The following is an 18,033-nucleotide window of genomic DNA, read 5'->3' as shown; positions in this document are numbered from 1 at the left end:
ATAAGTAAAAAACTGCACTTATAATGTTAATATAAAATAATGCTATTAGAATGTATTCAACAGAAAGATTACCGTTTAGGTGGGATTTTCCTTTTAATTGACAGAGGAAGGCAGCAGAAGAAAGATTTCCAACATGAAGAAAAAGGAAAGGAAAATGATAAGAAAAAAAGAAAACAACTAGAAAATGAAAGTCCATAGTAGTCAAAATCAAACTTCTTGAAATTATTTGTATTGTTCACTGTATGCCATACGAAACACAGATGCGGACAATATTCACAACGGCCATTAATATCAATATGCTGCTAGAATGTATTGGCTTTCACGAAATTAAATGATCAAATCTTCACTAGGCCCAGGAACCAAGTATGGTTTAGTAGAGGCTAAACTAGCAATTCCGAATACAATTTTGAAAAGGGTCCGAACTATTATTTCTACAGTTTTCTCATTCATATGTACAGGTATTCCTTCTCCTAAAGAAAGCTGTGTGTGGGATCAGCATAGTGAAGAAGAGGTATGGCATTATTAGCAACTACTGAAATATATATTAACAGATCAGAATTTAAAGCTTGGCTCTAAGACTCTTTAGAAAGTCAGTCTCTTGAATATCACATACAAGGTAGTGCTGTTCTAAGGATGTGTAAACTACAGAGTTCAAGAACTTTGAGTTTGCTAAGAACATTCATTTTTATTTCAAAAGGGCATAAATACAAAGGAATTTGCAATGTATATTTTAATACTATGATATATTGAGCATCATGAATAGTCTCCACTTCTCCCCCCTCAAAACAGGGCAAATGCAAATTTTTGGAGGCTATGAGTTTAATTTCAAAAGAGAAAAAGGAACATGAATCTGGACTAGCAGACTACTGGCACAAGATACGAGTACAGAAAGTGTTATAAATGTGGTCAGATGTGAGTGGCAACACCTGCCAGGTTCAACTCACTGTGAGAAAATCATAGTGCTATCCGCAGGCCACACGACTGTCATCATTTTAACAGTTACATAACCAAAACTGTCTCAGCACACTGGAAAAGCTTTTCCCCAGTGAAGAACAGGATAGAATTACAGTTAGTAACACTGGCTTTAAAATCAGATTCAGTGTGTGCTTTATGCAAGTCATTTCTCTAAGCTCAATTTCCTCATCTGAGAAATAAGACTTGCATCTTAAAGGGTTATTTAAGAACAAATAAGATAGATAATGTATGTAAAGTGCTTTCTGCAGTACATAACATGAGGTAATGATCATCATAATGTATTCTTTTATGATTACTAGAAAATCAACTGTAATACATGTTCTACGACTATGAATAATCTGCATATACAAAATAACAAATCAGTAACATTTATGCAAAAAATCATAAAAAATACTATAACTTATGGTAATATGGTAATATCATGATTCCACAAGTAAAACATCTAAAAGACCTTCCACTAATATTGAACAAAACCTAGTTCTTTTAAAAATGAACAAAATGTTTTAAAATTAAGAAATAAGCATACATTTCTTCATAAACACACTGCCTTTGGCAGCCATAAAACAGACAACTCTTTATCTTATGCAAGTCCTTGAAAAATTTTATATTGAGCTACTAAACTTATTATAGTTTTAAATTTCTCTACAAGTATTGAGTGTAGTTTGCTCTTAAATGATGCCAATTTCAAGTGTAAGACTATTTTATCCTCTATAAAAGGTTTGGTGTCTAAAAACAAAACAATGGTGTCAAGCTAAGATATCACGAATAATAGAATGACACTACCTAAGTAGTATTTTTAGTTATGACACACTTGTAAAAAGTACACTACCCCTTAGATTCTTTGTGTTGTTTACCACACCTTAAGGTCTTATGTCAAATGATATAAAGTTTCTAAACATTTAGTGTTTTCTGGTTCTGAAACTCCAGAGTGTGATGACCATGATGAAAGAAAAGAAAAATTTCAATAATTTTATTTTAAAAAATGCATTTGGGATATAATGTAAACTTTACTCTCAGGAGCAAGTAATTTATTTCAAAATACAGACATTAAAATAATAATAATAATAAGCTAAAGGAAAGCCCAAACTACAGTTCTAACTCTGGTATACACTGTCCATAATACTCATCTATATCTCAATGAAGGTTAACTTACTAAGTTTTTCATTACAGAAGTGTGGGTGTTCTAAACATACCTCTGATGCATACAAAATTATCTAGCATAAAAAAAAATGCTTCTTATGCTCCTTAACATTTTTGAAAATTCTTATAATGAGAAAATCCTAACAAAATTTGCTGGTAGTATTAAATTGAAAGCAAGAAGGAAAGTTACAGAGACAATTACAAAGTGAATCATTGGTTAAGTACTTACACAGTGCCAGGGTTACTGAGGGAAGAATAACACACACAAAAAAAGATGCGATAGAGTAGAGAAGACATTGATGTTCCCCGGAAGATGAACAACAGACAAAGAGGGGAGAAAAGAAGAAAAAGAAAAGACAATGAAATAAAATTCAAAACAATGATTTTCAGTGAAGATGTTACACAAACATCATGCTTCAAAATAATTATGTAAACACAGACCAAAAAATGAACAAATGTTAGTAAAAATTCTACTACACTGTTATAATCAAGACAACAGTTTTGTTCCCCCATCCCACAAAACACTGAAAACTATTTTATGTATTAATGCTAATTCAAGTATCAAGTGACTGAAAGATCCACTATTTTTTAAAAGGACAAGGTTTTATAAAAATCATTTAAACATGAATCCAAATTCTTATTATGTTCTTAACAAAGGACAGAAAGCAATCAGATGTAAAATGTAGAAATAGATCATTTTAGAATCACTTAAAATCAGAAGAGAATAAGAGAAAAATCTTTCAGTCTCACATAACAGAAGTATATATTAATAGCAAGTACAATTTCTCACATGAATTATCCTGAATCATATGTTATAAAAGAATAATATGCCATTTGAAATTTTTCTTGTTTCTTAGTAGCGACTATGATGAAAAATGTAGGAAGCACAGTGGATCATAAATAATGAGCTATCACTCAATTTTCTTACTCTCTCCTGTCCCTCATTAATACCACCCTCATTCACAAGCAAGTTCCAGTAACTTCAGAAGTGATTTGTGGGAATTCCATAGCTCTGTATTATCAGTGATATAATTATTGCCCAGAAGGCGTGTCTGATAAGACATGGTAAAGGAACTAAGTTAGTGACACCTGAAGTGGAAGAACCTCAAAACATAATTCATTCACATAGCCTATTAAGTGCAGAATCATTAACAACACATTCATATTACAGTAGGGATAGAAAAGACTAAAGTATAAACTGTATAGTTTGCCAAAGAACACACTGTAGCATTATTCAATTCTGCAATGATGTTTAGTCAGAGTAAGTAACAATTCATTATAAACATAGTAAGAAAAACTGCCTACCAGTTTTAACGCTAAGACTGGTCAGTGTTGCTATATTTCCACATGTCAAAATCAGTTTCATAAACTCAGAGGGTTGAGTTACACTGAGTGAGGGTGAGATGCAGGATTAAGTTGATCTCAATAGTTTGCTTGTATTTACTCTTCTGCAGCCACAAATGCACAGCATTCTCTCCTCTGCCTTGTTATTTTAAGTAGCAGGGAAATAGTTTTGCAAAATAACCTCATCCTGAACAGAGTTGAGTTTTAGATGTATATTTAAACATTTTAAAGTTTAGGAAAAATGTTTTATATTAATATGAAGTTAAATGGGGGCAAATGTTCAATGGTGTGGTGGAGCGGCAGCAAGTGGAGGGTTGACTGATTTCAACCTAAAGGTAACAATTTGAGTATGTCAAATAAATATTTTTACATATTTTAGAAAATGTGCCCAAATGGAATAGTCCATCATACACAGCAGTGGTAAATGTGCTAACATGATAGCCAGGTGATCTGGTTTCTCATACTGGCTGTGCTGCCCACTTTCCCCCATGCCCTGGGCAAACTGCAATCTACAGAAGCCTCATTTTCCTCAACAGTGAAATCAATGACAATTTCTCTGTCTTTCAGACTTCCTCTAAGGGTTTATGTTTAGCATATTTGAAGGCACTTTGAAAACTACACAAATACAGGTTTATTGTTGGAATAGATTCCCCAACCGCTCAAAATAAAAAAGGGAATATCTAACCTAATTGTAATATATGCACATCAATTGATTCACATAGCTTCAATTCAATTCTATAATCATTAAGAATAAATATTAATTCAAAGCCATAGAAATAAGCCCAAGTCACAAGCAGATGATATAGGGAAAGGCACATCAAAATTTGGCTTCAAAAGACCTAGGCTCAAATCTTAGCTCTATTAATTATAAGATGTGTGACTTGAGAAAGGTATGTAATCTCTTGGCATGAGAGTTTAAAGACTCAAATCACATAATGCATTTAGAAACACCTAGAACAATGCATAGTAATACCTAACAGATTAATGAATCTTAATCTTGAATTAAAAAAAAATTCTATCTAACCTAAATGTTTATTTTTCCAAACGCCATTCTCCCCCTTTACAAGTCTAACATTTTTACACTGGAATCTAGTAAATAGCCTAAGTCTCCGTCCAGAAAAATTTAACTTTAAATGGACAAAACATAAAACAGGGTTTGGGGATGTTTACACTGGTATGCAATATTCCTATATATAAAAAACATAAAACTGTTCAATTAGGGAGACCACAACTACATCGGAATGAAGTTGCTCTGATAATTCAGTAGTTAATTCTCTTGGATGTGTCCCAAGACAGATACTTCGAATTTCCAATACGACTTTATGGTGTGATGCCAAAAAAACTTTTAGTACACGTTCAGAATAACCATAAGCTAATTAATAAAATTATTTTAAGTTCTTATCTAATGTGATTTTTGCCTGTTTTTAAAGCTAGTAATCGTGAGCCAGTGTAGTGTCAATACCAATGGAACACAAAAGTGAGGTTTGAAAGTTATACCACAGTGATTCCCAACATCTACACCAATGGTGACATTTAATCAGTTGGTATTTATCTCTCTTAACAAATTTCAAAGATGTGTGGACTTTCTATTATCCACTGACACACAACTGTACATATAGAGGTCTGAACCTGCCAGCAACATTGAATTAAAACTCTAGAAAAATCATAAAGGTTCTTAAGAGACTTTACCATCAGCTTTTGACACTGATTTGGACATCAACTCAGTTTTACATGTTATTCACTAGTGGTATAAATGTTTATGCTTTCTCTTCTATCTTTGTGTTCTACCAGTCTTGACTGATATAAATTACATTTTCCCAAGCACTGCTTCTTTTAAACCAATACATAGTAAAACCCACATACATTTTATGACTTATGTTAAACACTACTATTTATTACTATAAAACAATTCACCACAACATAGCAATGCAAACCAAGCTTACTGAAAATACTAAATGTGGTTATTCTAAATTACAGCTCTTTTGCAAAATTTAACTTAATTTTGCAAAAATCAGGCATTCATGCTGTTTACTCATATATAAATCACCATATTTCCTCTCCAGTAATGTGGATACTAACTTTGTCACTTGTGTTTTCTGCAAAGAGAAAAGTATTTTAAAATATTACTACCACATCATTTTTTTTTAATCTTCCAAGGCCAGGTTCTTCAAAGTATCACACAGGAGCTGTTAGAAGAAATTTCAGTCCAACAAAATTAAAATTATTATAAGATACTAAAAGACTTACCTCTTGAAAGCAGTGGCACATTATAATGCAAGGATATATGGAAAGGGAAAAGGTAAATCACTTAAACTACTTGATGCAAAACAGCAATCCTTCCAGTTTGAAATATAAAGTCCCATTTGGCTCTTAGTAGAGTAAGGAGAGTAGTAAAGAAAACAGCCAGCTATGACCAATAATTTGTACATACAGAAGAAAGATTTAAATTTTCTTAACATGCCTTAATCCTTACTCATAAGAAGGAACAGGAATGCTTACAGACTATTAATTTAAAATATTCTAAAAATATCGACGTTATGTACAGATTTCATGCTATTAGGATGAACAGCTAATTATTTCTTAGTAATGATGCTTCATTAATAAGCATCTGTTTATGTCTGTTTATCAATGCTATATAAATTTGCGTGGAATAGCTATCAAACTAGCTTAAAAACTAAAAACTAATAGTCCTCCTGGTGCTTTCAGGAAAAAGACAACCTAAGCATTTAACTTTACATCCTTCTGAACTCTTAAATTTTTGGTCATTGGTATGTATTATTTTTTAAATTAAAAAATAACTAATATAAATATAAGGTAACAACTCTCAACTTTAAAAGAGTTTTGTTGTAGGTATTTTGCAACATTATAAAAATCTGGGAAATATAATAGTAACAAGTTTGACACTGATTCCAGAAAAAGTTTGACAACTTATGCAAAAAATGCATCCATTAATAGCACAAAACACCTACTCTTCAAAATGACACATCACTGACTAGTAAAGTGTGTAATTTATTTTTATTTCTCAGTCTAAATATCGTGAATGAAAGGGCGCTACCAATGTGTCTCAGAGTTTCACAGACAACACACTTTATTTTCAGAGTAATCAAGTTTTTATTGTCCTAATATCTAGACACTTGAAATCAAGCTATTTTTAAATACACCCAGTTTGCAAATGCAAAGCAGTAACTTGCCTGAAAATGATGCAAAATATGTAGTAATCTCTTTTCTCCTGAATTTTGCACAGTGCTGGACAGCAGGCATGTGCTTAATAAACACTGCCAATTGATTAAGAAGCCATCATAAAGGCTCTATAATACTGCCTAGTTTCAGTTTAAAAATAATAAGCTTTAAATCATTTCAAGTTTTATCACCAAAGCTGTGCTTATAAAACACAAAACTTAAGCTTGGTATTTTCAGATGTTTTAAATGCAGTACTTTTCCATAACCTGTTTGCTTTTACCTCTACAACTTTCTATTAAGAAGAGTTGGCCGGGCGCGGTGGCTCACGCCTGTAATCCCAGCACTTTGGGAGGCCGAGGCGGGCGGATCACGAGGTCAGGAGATCGAGACCATCCCGGCTAAAACGGTGAAACCCCGTCTCTACTAAAAATACAAAAAATTAGCCGGGCGTAGTGGCGGGCGCCTGTAGTCCCAGCTACTTGGGAGGCTGAGGCAGGAGAATGGCGTGAACCCGGGAGGCGGAGCTTGCAGTGAGCCGAGATCCCGCCACTGCACTCCAGCCTGGGCGACAGAGCGAGACTCCGTCTCAAAAAAAAAAAAAAAAAAAAAAAAAAAGAAGAGTTTTTTATGAGATTTCAAGAAGCACTAGTAGAAAAGATTTTAGTTAAGACACTTCCTTCAATGGATGTTTTTCTACTGAACTTGGAATTTAATAAACATGGTAAACTTCTGTTTTAGTCTTCTGTGTGGCTTGCATTTGACAGACAGCATCTTTCTTTGCAGGATATCTACTCTGATTACTCGAAAATCTATTGTCTTAAAATAAACATACTAAAAAAAAAAAAAAAAAAAAAAGATTACGACCAAACACTCCTGAACACTCCATACTGTTTCTCTTCCTCACATGAAAGAAACAATAACATTCTTTTTTGAAGGATACTAGTTTTCCTCAATATATATATATATATATCAGAACTTTAGAAAGCCACCCACAACCTCAAGACCGTATGTACAGCCCAGGAGCTGTTCTTCTAGAGCTCCTGCTCTCCCTCTCTCAGCAGCAGCCTGGAGTTTTGCCACCTTCTCTTTCAAAGCCCCAAAGTTGCCATGGCAGCAGTGCTACAGAAAGCACAGCCTCTTCATTACAGGAATTAACATTCAGAAGGGATTATCTCAGAGAATGGACCTATCCACACAAGTATTTTAATTATATTTTCCTGGGAACTGGCATTGGTAAAAACCATCAGGCCTGTAGACTATTTCCCTTTGTCTTCCTTTTAAGGTACATTTTTGTCACAATAAATCTGATAAAAATGATTTTACATAAATGACTGCCTTAAAGTATCATCCCTGAATTCCAAAAGCAATAAAATGACCATCATTATTCTCTCTCTTTTCTTTACTTTTTTCTTTGCAAGTAGGATTACATTATAGAAAAGAATTATTTTTAAAAAAGATACTGTACATAACCTCTCACGGCCAACTTAAATCCTTGCTCCTCAACATAAATTTCTGACTATCTGATAACATTATATTTGAACCGAAAGTGTTAAAAAAAAATAAACAAATAATTGAAGGTTGCTGAAAAACAGATGTGTGATCTTATAACTATGTGTAGTTCAAATAAGTTAATAACTTCAACCAATTTTTTTAATAAAAAGATACCCCCAAAAGGGAAAAACGATAAGAAACAGATTTTCAAAGTGTTCTGCTAACATGTATGTTTAGTGTCCAATGGCTTAAATTTACTCATTTCAGAAAACGTTTACAATGAAAGTATTTTATAATTTGCTTCTAATGCTTTCTAAGCGTGCCTTGTTGTTTCATTACTGTCTGCTTTTAAAGAATAAATTCTAACTTAAACTTATCTGAAAACAATGTTGTTAGCTCTCTGCTCTAAGCTAATGCTTCACATATAGACATGAGTCAAAAGCGGACTGGTTTTCCTAAGATTACCTCCTAGAAAAAAAACCCCTTACAAATTCATGATTTCCCCTCTCCTTACGATGAGTTGTGTAAGGTGACAGCAACTGTAACCACTGTTTGAACTTTTGGTGGCCTATTTAAAAGAATGAAAAAATTGAGGAAGAAAGATTCAAGATTTGCCTTGCATTACAAGTGCCAGCTGCTCAATGCTGTGTCGGGACTTACAAAAAATGAGTTACAGAGATGTTACATGGTTCAGAACATGTCAAAATGCACAAGTAGCTTTTGAATAAGTGATAATTGCTTTGCAGAAAGTACCCTATGTATATAAAGGCCATATGTTAATGAGGCAAATAATACTTCATCTCCCTTCCTTCAAAGAAAGTTGGTTTTGGGGGAGAGGAATGTAGAGTATTTCCTGGAAATTACCTGAAAGAAGAGTTTTAGTAAGAGCAGAAAGCACCTTAGCCACCTACCCATTTTGCTGTTTACTGTCACCCTGGGATCCTCTTCTCTGTCCCTCTGCTAGCTCCTGAGAAGTCTCGGAACACACGCTGGTGACTGTGGGCTGCCGTGGGACATTAACTGCAGTTTTACCAGCGCTCAGTGCAGATGGAGACTGGTCAGCACTAAGATTGGCATTAGCATGCAGTCCAGATGCAGCGAACAGGGGAGGAGTGACGGCAGCCACGGGTGAAGGGGAAGCATGTGATGAGGTGGTCGCATGGGCTGGGGTGAAGGCAGACGATGGTGATGGGATGGATGTGACTTTTGGTGAAGACACAGAACCAAAAGGCCGTGGTGCCTTATTGTAGGCCATGTTGTTTGTGGAAGTGACTTTGGACACAGCAGGAGATGTAATGGGCACAGGTTTAACTACTTCTTTAGGTTCTCCCTATGTAAAACAAAAATAAACATACACAAAACCACACCAAACACATGCAAAATATATTTCACCGAAAAGAACACAGAGCTGATTTTTTAAAAGACAAACACAATCAGGTTAGCAGCTCAAACATCATGTTTCCAGATAAAAACAATGGGCTGATAAAGCATAACGTGCATGCTAACTAGTCCCAACATGCATAACACAGATGCACACATTAGGTATAATTTTTAAAAATAAAAATGAAAGTAGTTTCAAAATATTTCGGAAATACAGCAGGAAAACTATCAGAAAGCCTAAAGCCCCTCATCAGTGTCAACCTAGGCATATTCCAAAGGAAAAATGTTTAAATACCCTACAATAAACAAAACATTGCTAACTGAGGTGTTTTTTATGTTAAAATATCCAAAGCCCATCTTTCCATCTTTCAAAGCCCATAGTCCCATTTTTCAAACATGTTTCATTTCTCTCCAGAGTGGAATCATTTGTTTCACGCAGAAGGAGCAGCACATTTCTAACTCTTTAAGTTTAAAAAAACAAAAAACACAGGGAATAAGATAATTTTCACCTAACTCAGGAATGTGCAAACTCTAATTAATAATCTTAAAGAATTTGAAAAAAAAAAAAAAACTTTAAAAAAGCAAATAAAACAAAATCCTTTCTTTCTTGTAATCCACCTCCATTTCTCTCTCTGAATGTTTTAAGATATGATTCAGAGATAGAATAAAATTCTTTTCCTTTTCCAAAATAAATATTTAATAGTTACATGAAGAAAAAAAAATCTTCAATATTTCCCCATCGTCAGCAGCCAAAGAAAAAACAACTAGTAAGAAAGGTCAATTCCTCCTAAAATTACCAGAATTTTTATTTGCCAATCCTTATTCCAAAGCATATTTAAAGTTAAACAAAATCAGACTAAGCTTCTACAACATTCAAGAATAAATCCCAGGAGGCGGGATAGCTCAGAGGTAGAGCGTTAGACTTCAGATCAAGAATAAATCCCTATTCCACCCTACCATATCAAAAGAAAAAATCAAATTTTTGAAAAATCATACAATGGTGGTTCTACTGTTTAATTTTAAGAAAAAAGGTAATCTCAATTCATCTTGTTTTTTTTTTTTTTTTTGAGACAGGAGTCTTGCTCTGTCACTGAGGCTGGAGTGCAGTGGTGTGATCTCAGCTCACTGTAACCTCCACTTCCCGGGTTCAAGTGATTCTCCCACCTCAGCCTCCTGGCTAGCTGGGACTACAGATGCGTGACACCATGCCCAGCTAATTTTTGTATTTTCAATAGAGATGAAGTATCACCATGTTGGCCAGGCTGGTCTCAAACTTCTGACCTCAGGTGATCCGCCTGCCTCGGCCTCCCAAAAAGATGGGATTACAGGCGTGACCCACCGCGCGCAGCCTCAATTCATCTTATAGGAAGAAGAAAACTAATTGAGAAAAATAAGTAGCTTAGTGCCCACACGAATCAATACAGGTTGAGTATCCCTTATTTAGACAGCTTGGGACCAGAAGCATTCAGATTTCAGATATTCTCAGATTTTTGAATCTTTGTAGAATGCAGGAGCATCCCTAATCCAAGAATCCAAAATCTGAAATGCTGCAATGGTCATGTGAGCATGTCAGTGTTCAGAAAGTTTGGGATTTTGGAGCATTTTGGATTTTCTAATTAGGGATGCTCAATCTGTATAATAAGTAGTTCAATAAATAGGCACAGATAAAATTAGGGAGAAAGCCCCCAAAAGCATAAAACAGATATATATGAATAATGGTTTGAAATTATTTTGAAGACATATATGCAAGAAGAGGGATACTTGCCAATAACCTAAGAATACTCTGAAATGTAATTAAGCACTTATTAATAAAATGTTATTAAAGACTTATTGTGATATTAATTTTCAGTAACCACTTATTTATTCTCTTTAGAAAATATAAGGATTTGGATAAAGATGGGCTCATCAAAAGTGAATAGAAATGTAAGAAATCTGACATAAGTTATTGTAACATATGGCTTTGGAAATAATGTTTTATAACATGTATAATTACAAATGGTATGTGCTGATCTCCATTTCCCTACTCATCTCTGAAGGAAAAGAACTACAAGGAAAATTGTACTGAGACTATAAATTAAATGAATGTCAGTATGGTCTGAGACAGTAATGGGAATTACAGTAGCTCAGCAAGGACAATCAAGTGATACTCTGGGTGCTAGCTTAAAAACACACCTTTTGAACAGGAACCGGCTCAGGCTTGGGTGCAGCAGATGCTCTGAGGAAAAAAAGAAAGAAAAAGAAAAAAAAAATAATGAATTTTTATAAACTTGCAGACTTCTTAATGGAATTTTTACTATTATAATATAGCCTTAATATACTGAATCACTGGAATGTATCGTTTCATAATTCATAGTTTTTACTATTCACAATCTTCTAATTCATTCATGTAAGTCAAATGCTGCAAGATTCAACATTTTACACACTAGGTATTCAATAGCAGTCTCTGGTTCTCTACAAATTCAGCTGAGGAATGACAAACATCAATCCTGTTTGTGAGTGCACCCGTGTTTAATCGTTAAGGATACCCCCCACCTAAAAGGGTAAAGTATAATAAACATGACCTTCTGATCTTTGAGTGGCTCCTCAACCACCTAATCTGACTCCTATCTCCAACAGTATCTGTCTTTTCTCCTAACATCCATGAACAACATCCACAGGATATTGGGTCTCTGTGAAGATGCTGAATACATTCTAGTTGAATTGGGTCAATGAATGAATATTTATTCTGTATTCCTATTCTTAAGTGTCTATGCAAGTTAATACATTTAATTTGCTAAAAGTAAACTGTAGGTCCTTCTACTAGACTATAATTTCAGAGAAGGCAATGACCATGCCCCATCTGTGTCTGTATCAGCACAGTGTCTGGAATGTAACAGGTCATCAGTAATAAGTGTGGAAAAGAGAGAGTGAAGAAAAAGACAAAAATCCATGTATATAACTTGACTATTTCCAAATTCAAATTAATTTTCATTTTAAATATATGTTTTTTGTACTATGTTATTATTGTGCCTTTAGTTAGCATGGGCTCAACAGTAACAATAATTGGTTTGGAGCAATTATCTCATATAATCTTAATCATATCCAAGTAAAACCTATGGTTATCCTAATTTTTCAGAGAAGAAACTTCAAAAGAAGTGTAGGTAAATTGCTTAAGATGGAGCTGAGGCCCACCACTGTTAAATATAACAATATACTGTTTGTATTCATGGACAGGAACTAAATGACTGGGAAAGCCTCTAATGTTTTAAAGCCTATTTACTTAGTGTTAAGGTATATGTTATGTTTAATATGCCAGTAGCAATTTGATTCCACTCATATCACACTAGCTGGAGGATAACACACCAAGCACAGAATTCAAGAAATGTAAGCATAGCAGGTAAATACTAAGTGATGATCATTTTAAGCTATAAACCATGAGCTTGTTTTACTTTAAAGACAACAGATCACAAACAGAAGACACTAGCACAGGATATTCGGTCTCTATGAGTATAATCTAATAATGAACTCTGATCAACATTTTTAGCAGCAACTGAATTTTCCAAAAACAGTTAATTTGGTTAGCTATGGCAAGCACTGAGAATTGGCTAACCTAATGAGAGGTAGCAATGGATGTTAATATTCAGTTACTGCAATACAGATTACACTCTGTGCAGTTGCACAACCTTCTATGTGTACTATTTAATAGACAACTTCTCTTTTAGCTTGTAGGGTTATTATAATGAGCAAAGGAAACAAGTTCAAGTAAAGAACAGTGGATTCCAGTGAATAAGGAAACCTATTTCTCAAAATTAGAATTGTTGTAATTGTCTTCCTTTTCTTTCGACAAATATTGAGCATCTTTTACTTTAACAATGTCATAGATTACATAAAAACAATAATTTTTAAAGGATGTTTAAAAAATTGAGGTATAATTACGAAAAAAATTCTTCCTACATTTTCTCTTCAAATCCTGGCAAATATACAATGGGATAACAGATCCCCTTTGAACTGCAGTGATCATCACAAGTCACTTTTGTGTAGTGTGAGTTTCAAACCAGCAGAGAGAGATCTTGGCAACGGCTTTGTGCTATGGGGTCAACAATTTTCTTATTGTTCACCCTCCTTGGTGTGAAGCCACTGTTCAGGAGTAAGCCACGACGGTGATATACCAGTGCCTCAGCCCAGTAGTATCCTCAGTTCATGAAATTCAAAGAACAAAGCCATCAATGTGGCTAGAACAATCTATTTGAAGTTGATTGACTTTTGTAAAAGTAGTATCCAAAATAAAAATCCCTGATGCATTATAACCAGTTTCAGAACCTCTACCTGAACAGTTGAAAGGAGTTTTAAGTGATAACTGACTATGTTAAAAACTAAAATTGTGATGTACCGGTTAGAATAATGTATAGGAAAAATTATGCCACAAATAAACAGCAGTCTTATCAAGAATTAGATGCAAATGAATCAAGCTAAACTGCATCTTTTGAATACCCAATGCAGTGTTATACTTAAGGTATATTTTTAACTAATTAATGTAGTTTCCTAAAACTGCTTTATAAAATAACATGGTTTTTAGTTAATAAGGTTCTGAATGTTCGCATTAGTGTTTAAGAATGAGGAACTAGACAATAGAACTAGAATGATAAAGATTATGCACATTACTCATTATGTCTTGGTGACTCCCTCAAGCATCTAATATACTTAACTCGTAAACAATCACACAGAAAAAAAGGAGGGTGTTTGCCTCATCTTCTATGAGATGAGCTCTTGTCTAAGTTTCCCACAGCATGGCCATCTTTGGATCCACTGACCTTGGGACCCATAAACACTAGGGTACATCATTAATCACTTTAATTGCAAAGTTGTCAATCTGTAATAACAAAGCAACTCTAGAAGGAAAAAAGTGAGCACTCAAGAGTGCAGAAGGATGTCTTTCTAAACAGTTTCCTCACACTTTATTGCATATTCAGCTAGTCTACTGTTCCAAATACTCAAACCTTAAACATTTAAATCACTATGGCAATGTATTAGGTTTTTCTAAATGGTTTGAGATTATGTAAAGATTCTATTTCCTATAAACAAAAGTACAAAATAGTTATATATCAGCATATTATAACAGTTTGTGGCTTATAAAAGACTGTACTCTTCACATACACATGCACTCACTCACACACTCACTCCTTTTCTCCCTCTTTGCATCTTCTCTATCTTACTATAGGAACTAATACGTACATCTTTTTTTCCTACAGAGAGAAAGAAATAACCCAAAGCTGGTCAGGCTTTTTGAAGAGTCAAAGAAAGAAGGAAAAAAGACAAAAGCAGCAGAATTGCTTTAGCCCATGTGAGTACCAGTGGCCCTCTGTGCCTGTGCTTGATTTTAAATTTGAGTGTGGCTCTGATATATATCCAGAACAGGCAGTTACCATTTGATAATTATAATACTTCTCTAAGCATATCTAATTATAATATATCTAATTATAATACTTCTTTAAGAATTATAATTATAATAATTCTGTAAGTAGGGTGAGTGCTTTTGTTGCAATAATCCTTTTCAGGTGGCCATGAAGGTTTATTAGGGTTTGAGAAGAAATTTTCATCAACCAGATAAAAGTCAAGCCAGAGAACCAATGGATGGAAGAAAGGAAGAAAATAAGAGGGTATTAGGGCAGAGCGTGAGTGATATCACCCCAATTTGTTATTTTAAAGTTCAAATGATTAATACTTAAATACCTGAAAATCACTAAGAAAGAAAGCATTTTGTCAAGTAGCAAGCAATTCAAGCAAATTTAAATTTAAGTAGCATAAGTGGAAACAAAGACTAACAGCTACCTTAAATTTATTCTATGTGCCAGGCACTCAACCGCATATCCATATAACTATATTTTTCATTTATAATAATCTCATGATTTAGGTGTCATTCTCTCATTTTACAGATGAGAAACTCAAATGCAAAGGGGTAAAATTGGACAGGAACGCTGGCTTGTGCCTGTAATCAATCCAGCACTTTGGGAGGCTGAGGTGGGTGGATCACCTGAGGTCAGGAGTTTGAGACCAGCCTGGCCAACATGGTGAAACCCCATCTCTACTAAACATACAAAAATTAGCTGGACGTGGTAGCATGTGCCTGTAGTCTCAGCTACTTAGGAGGCTGAGGCAGGAGAACTGCTTGAACCTGGGAGGCAGAGGTTGCAGTGAGCCGAGATTGTGCCACTGCACTCCAGCAAGACTCTGTCTAAACAAACAAACAAACAAACGAACAAACAAACAAACGAAGGGGTAAAATGACTTTATCAAGTCATTCATCCAGTTTGGAGTGGGAGACTAGTTATCATCCCAAATGTTCTCCAAAGACCTTGCTCTTCAGCACAAATTGTTTGAATTTCTAAAATCAGTGTCAACCCAAGCAAAATGGCTTTCCAGTATCACCCTCTCTTCTAACTCCTCACTGTGGAGGGGGCCATTTTGTGGGAAGGGCACTTATTCCATATAGGTACAGGTCATCTCTAAAGGTAACCACAATCCAAAATTATATAGAATCGTGTCATGGAAGAATAAGAATCAACAAAGATGTCATTTCACTCAACGTGCCAAAAAAAAGAAGTCCAAAACAAAAATTACTGTGGGCACACCCCAAATTGACTTCATCATCTGGTGATATTCCATGTAAATTCATTTGGTCAAAGCCTCAATCTTCTAAAGTATTCCAACAAAGATATAACACTTAACTTGTTATCTCCTTAGGTACATTTATTTTAAAATATTAGTATATGACATATTTTTAAGAATAAGTGTTTTATATATCCTATAATTTATTTGCATACATCTTTCTTAAAACTGTTTTCAAATTATGTGCAAAATTTCACAATATTCTATTTGATTCCAGAGGGAGAAAACTTATTGCTGTAATTCTACATTTATTTCCATAGTAACAGTTTTATGAGGGAAAAAAATTATTTGCCCATTGTGCCTCATGTCCACACTCAAAAATAACTTCAGAATCTTTTAAAGAAAAAAAATCCATTTTTCTAAATAGTATTTATAAAATTTTTATATCAGAAAGAATGAAGAGATTACATAATTTTAGATGTATTCAAGAATAAAAGAAATTTCAAATTTAAGAGTAATTCATTATTACTATGGAAAAAATTTCATTACAGTGAAAATACCATTTCAATAAAGGGTTTCTATAAACAATCTATTCTATATGTCCCACTGTTAAGAAATGGCAAATTTTATTATACAGGGCCAGACAGTAAATATTTTAGTCTTTGTGTGTCAAATGATCTCAACTATTCAGCTCTGTCACTGTAGAAAGACACAGACAAAACCTAAATAAGTGACCATGGTTGTGTTCCAACAAAACTTTAGTAAAAACAAGCGGTGGGCAGGACTTGGCCTGTAAGCCATCATTTGACAGCCTCTAGTTTAGATCATGTTAAGGTGTTTATTATACCAAACGTTCTAGTACGTAATTCTACATGACCATGCCTCTTTTGGTCTCTAAACCTCGTAATCATTCTGCACAATGCAAAGCCCTAATTATAATATGTTCAGATACTGATATAAGAAATGAAAGTGAAACGTATTATTCCTTCTGTGGTTGCAGGACACTACCTTTAAATTCTTCTTATCTCCTCTACCCAAAACTTTTACACTGTTTACAACTGTTTAGGTGATCCATCTGAACTTCCATACCACCCATTCAAATGAAATTCATACCACACAGCACTGATACTGAAGTTTGGTGAAGGGTCAGATTTAATATTATTGGACTAGAATAACATTTTAAGCACTATTTGTAACTCTGCTAGTCAGCACTTCAGTTCATTTGCTAATAAATGATAAAGAGTGCTAAAAACCTCTTTCAGCCCTGCTTCTACATACTATAAATGGAGCTACTAGTAATTATTTTTTTAAAAAATCCTAAAAGAACAAGTGAAAAGGATGCACCCTGCATTTTTATGCAAGGGAAGAGACTGACAAGTATAATTCCCTTCTTTCCCATTATTTTCTACCAAAACTCTATATTTTTTAACAGTCATGAACTATACTATCTTTAGGAATGAAAAAAAAAAAAATCAATCTGTACTAGAATTGCATTCTCTGAAAACTTACTAAGGTCCAATGGTAAGTAATTACTTCTACTTGATAGATTTTCTCTTCCAACTTCAATCAGGTAGATAAAAAATATATTTTTATCAACACAGTACTTCATTACTAATATAAAAGTAATAAAACTTGCAAAGCAAATAATCTGCCTGTGAAAAATTAAGAGTCTACATTTTATTGGCTCTTTTGTGACACTACTAAAATGCCCTTAAAACAAATACAGTTGGGAGGCCAAGGTGGGCAGATCACGAGGTCAGGAGATCGAGATCATCCTGGCTAACACGGTGAAACCCCGTCTCTACTAAAAATACAAAAAAATTAGCCAGGTGTGGTGGCGGGCGCCTGTAGTCCCAGCTACTCGGGAGGCTGAAGCAGGAGAACAGCGTGAACCGGGAGGCGGAGCTTGCAGTGAGCCGAGGTTGTGCCACTGCACTC

The 18,033-nt window shown here is 34.4% G+C and overlaps 1 protein-coding gene across 8 annotated transcripts in view; it reads right to left on the bottom strand.

Annotated features, from left to right (window-relative positions):
- Nucleotides 1-18,033, bottom strand: part of PDLIM5 (PDZ and LIM domain 5) — a 216,282-nt gene that overhangs the window by 83,148 nt on the left and 115,101 nt on the right. For 3 of the 8 annotated variants that reach the window (NM_001256426.2, NM_001256427.2, NM_001011515.3), the window contains exons 4-6: nucleotides 11,683-11,725; nucleotides 9,042-9,133; nucleotides 73-90 (exon numbers count right to left, since the gene is read on the bottom strand). In NM_001256426.2, the coding sequence (NP_001243355.2) occupies nucleotides 73-90; nucleotides 9,042-9,133; nucleotides 11,683-11,725 (153 nt within the window). Of the gene's footprint in view, nucleotides 1-72; nucleotides 91-2,344; nucleotides 2,360-5,538; nucleotides 5,556-9,041; nucleotides 9,461-11,682; nucleotides 11,726-18,033 lie in introns of all 8 variants that reach the window. The other 5 variants (NM_006457.5, NM_001256428.2, NM_001011516.3 and 2 more) reach the window with 4 other exon arrangements.

Source organism: Homo sapiens, chromosome 4 (assembly GCF_000001405.40).
Source record: "Homo sapiens chromosome 4, GRCh38.p14 Primary Assembly".
Classification (NCBI taxonomy): Eukaryota; Metazoa; Chordata; class Mammalia; order Primates; family Hominidae; genus Homo; species Homo sapiens.
This window is presented reverse-complemented; position numbering and strand designations above follow the sequence as displayed.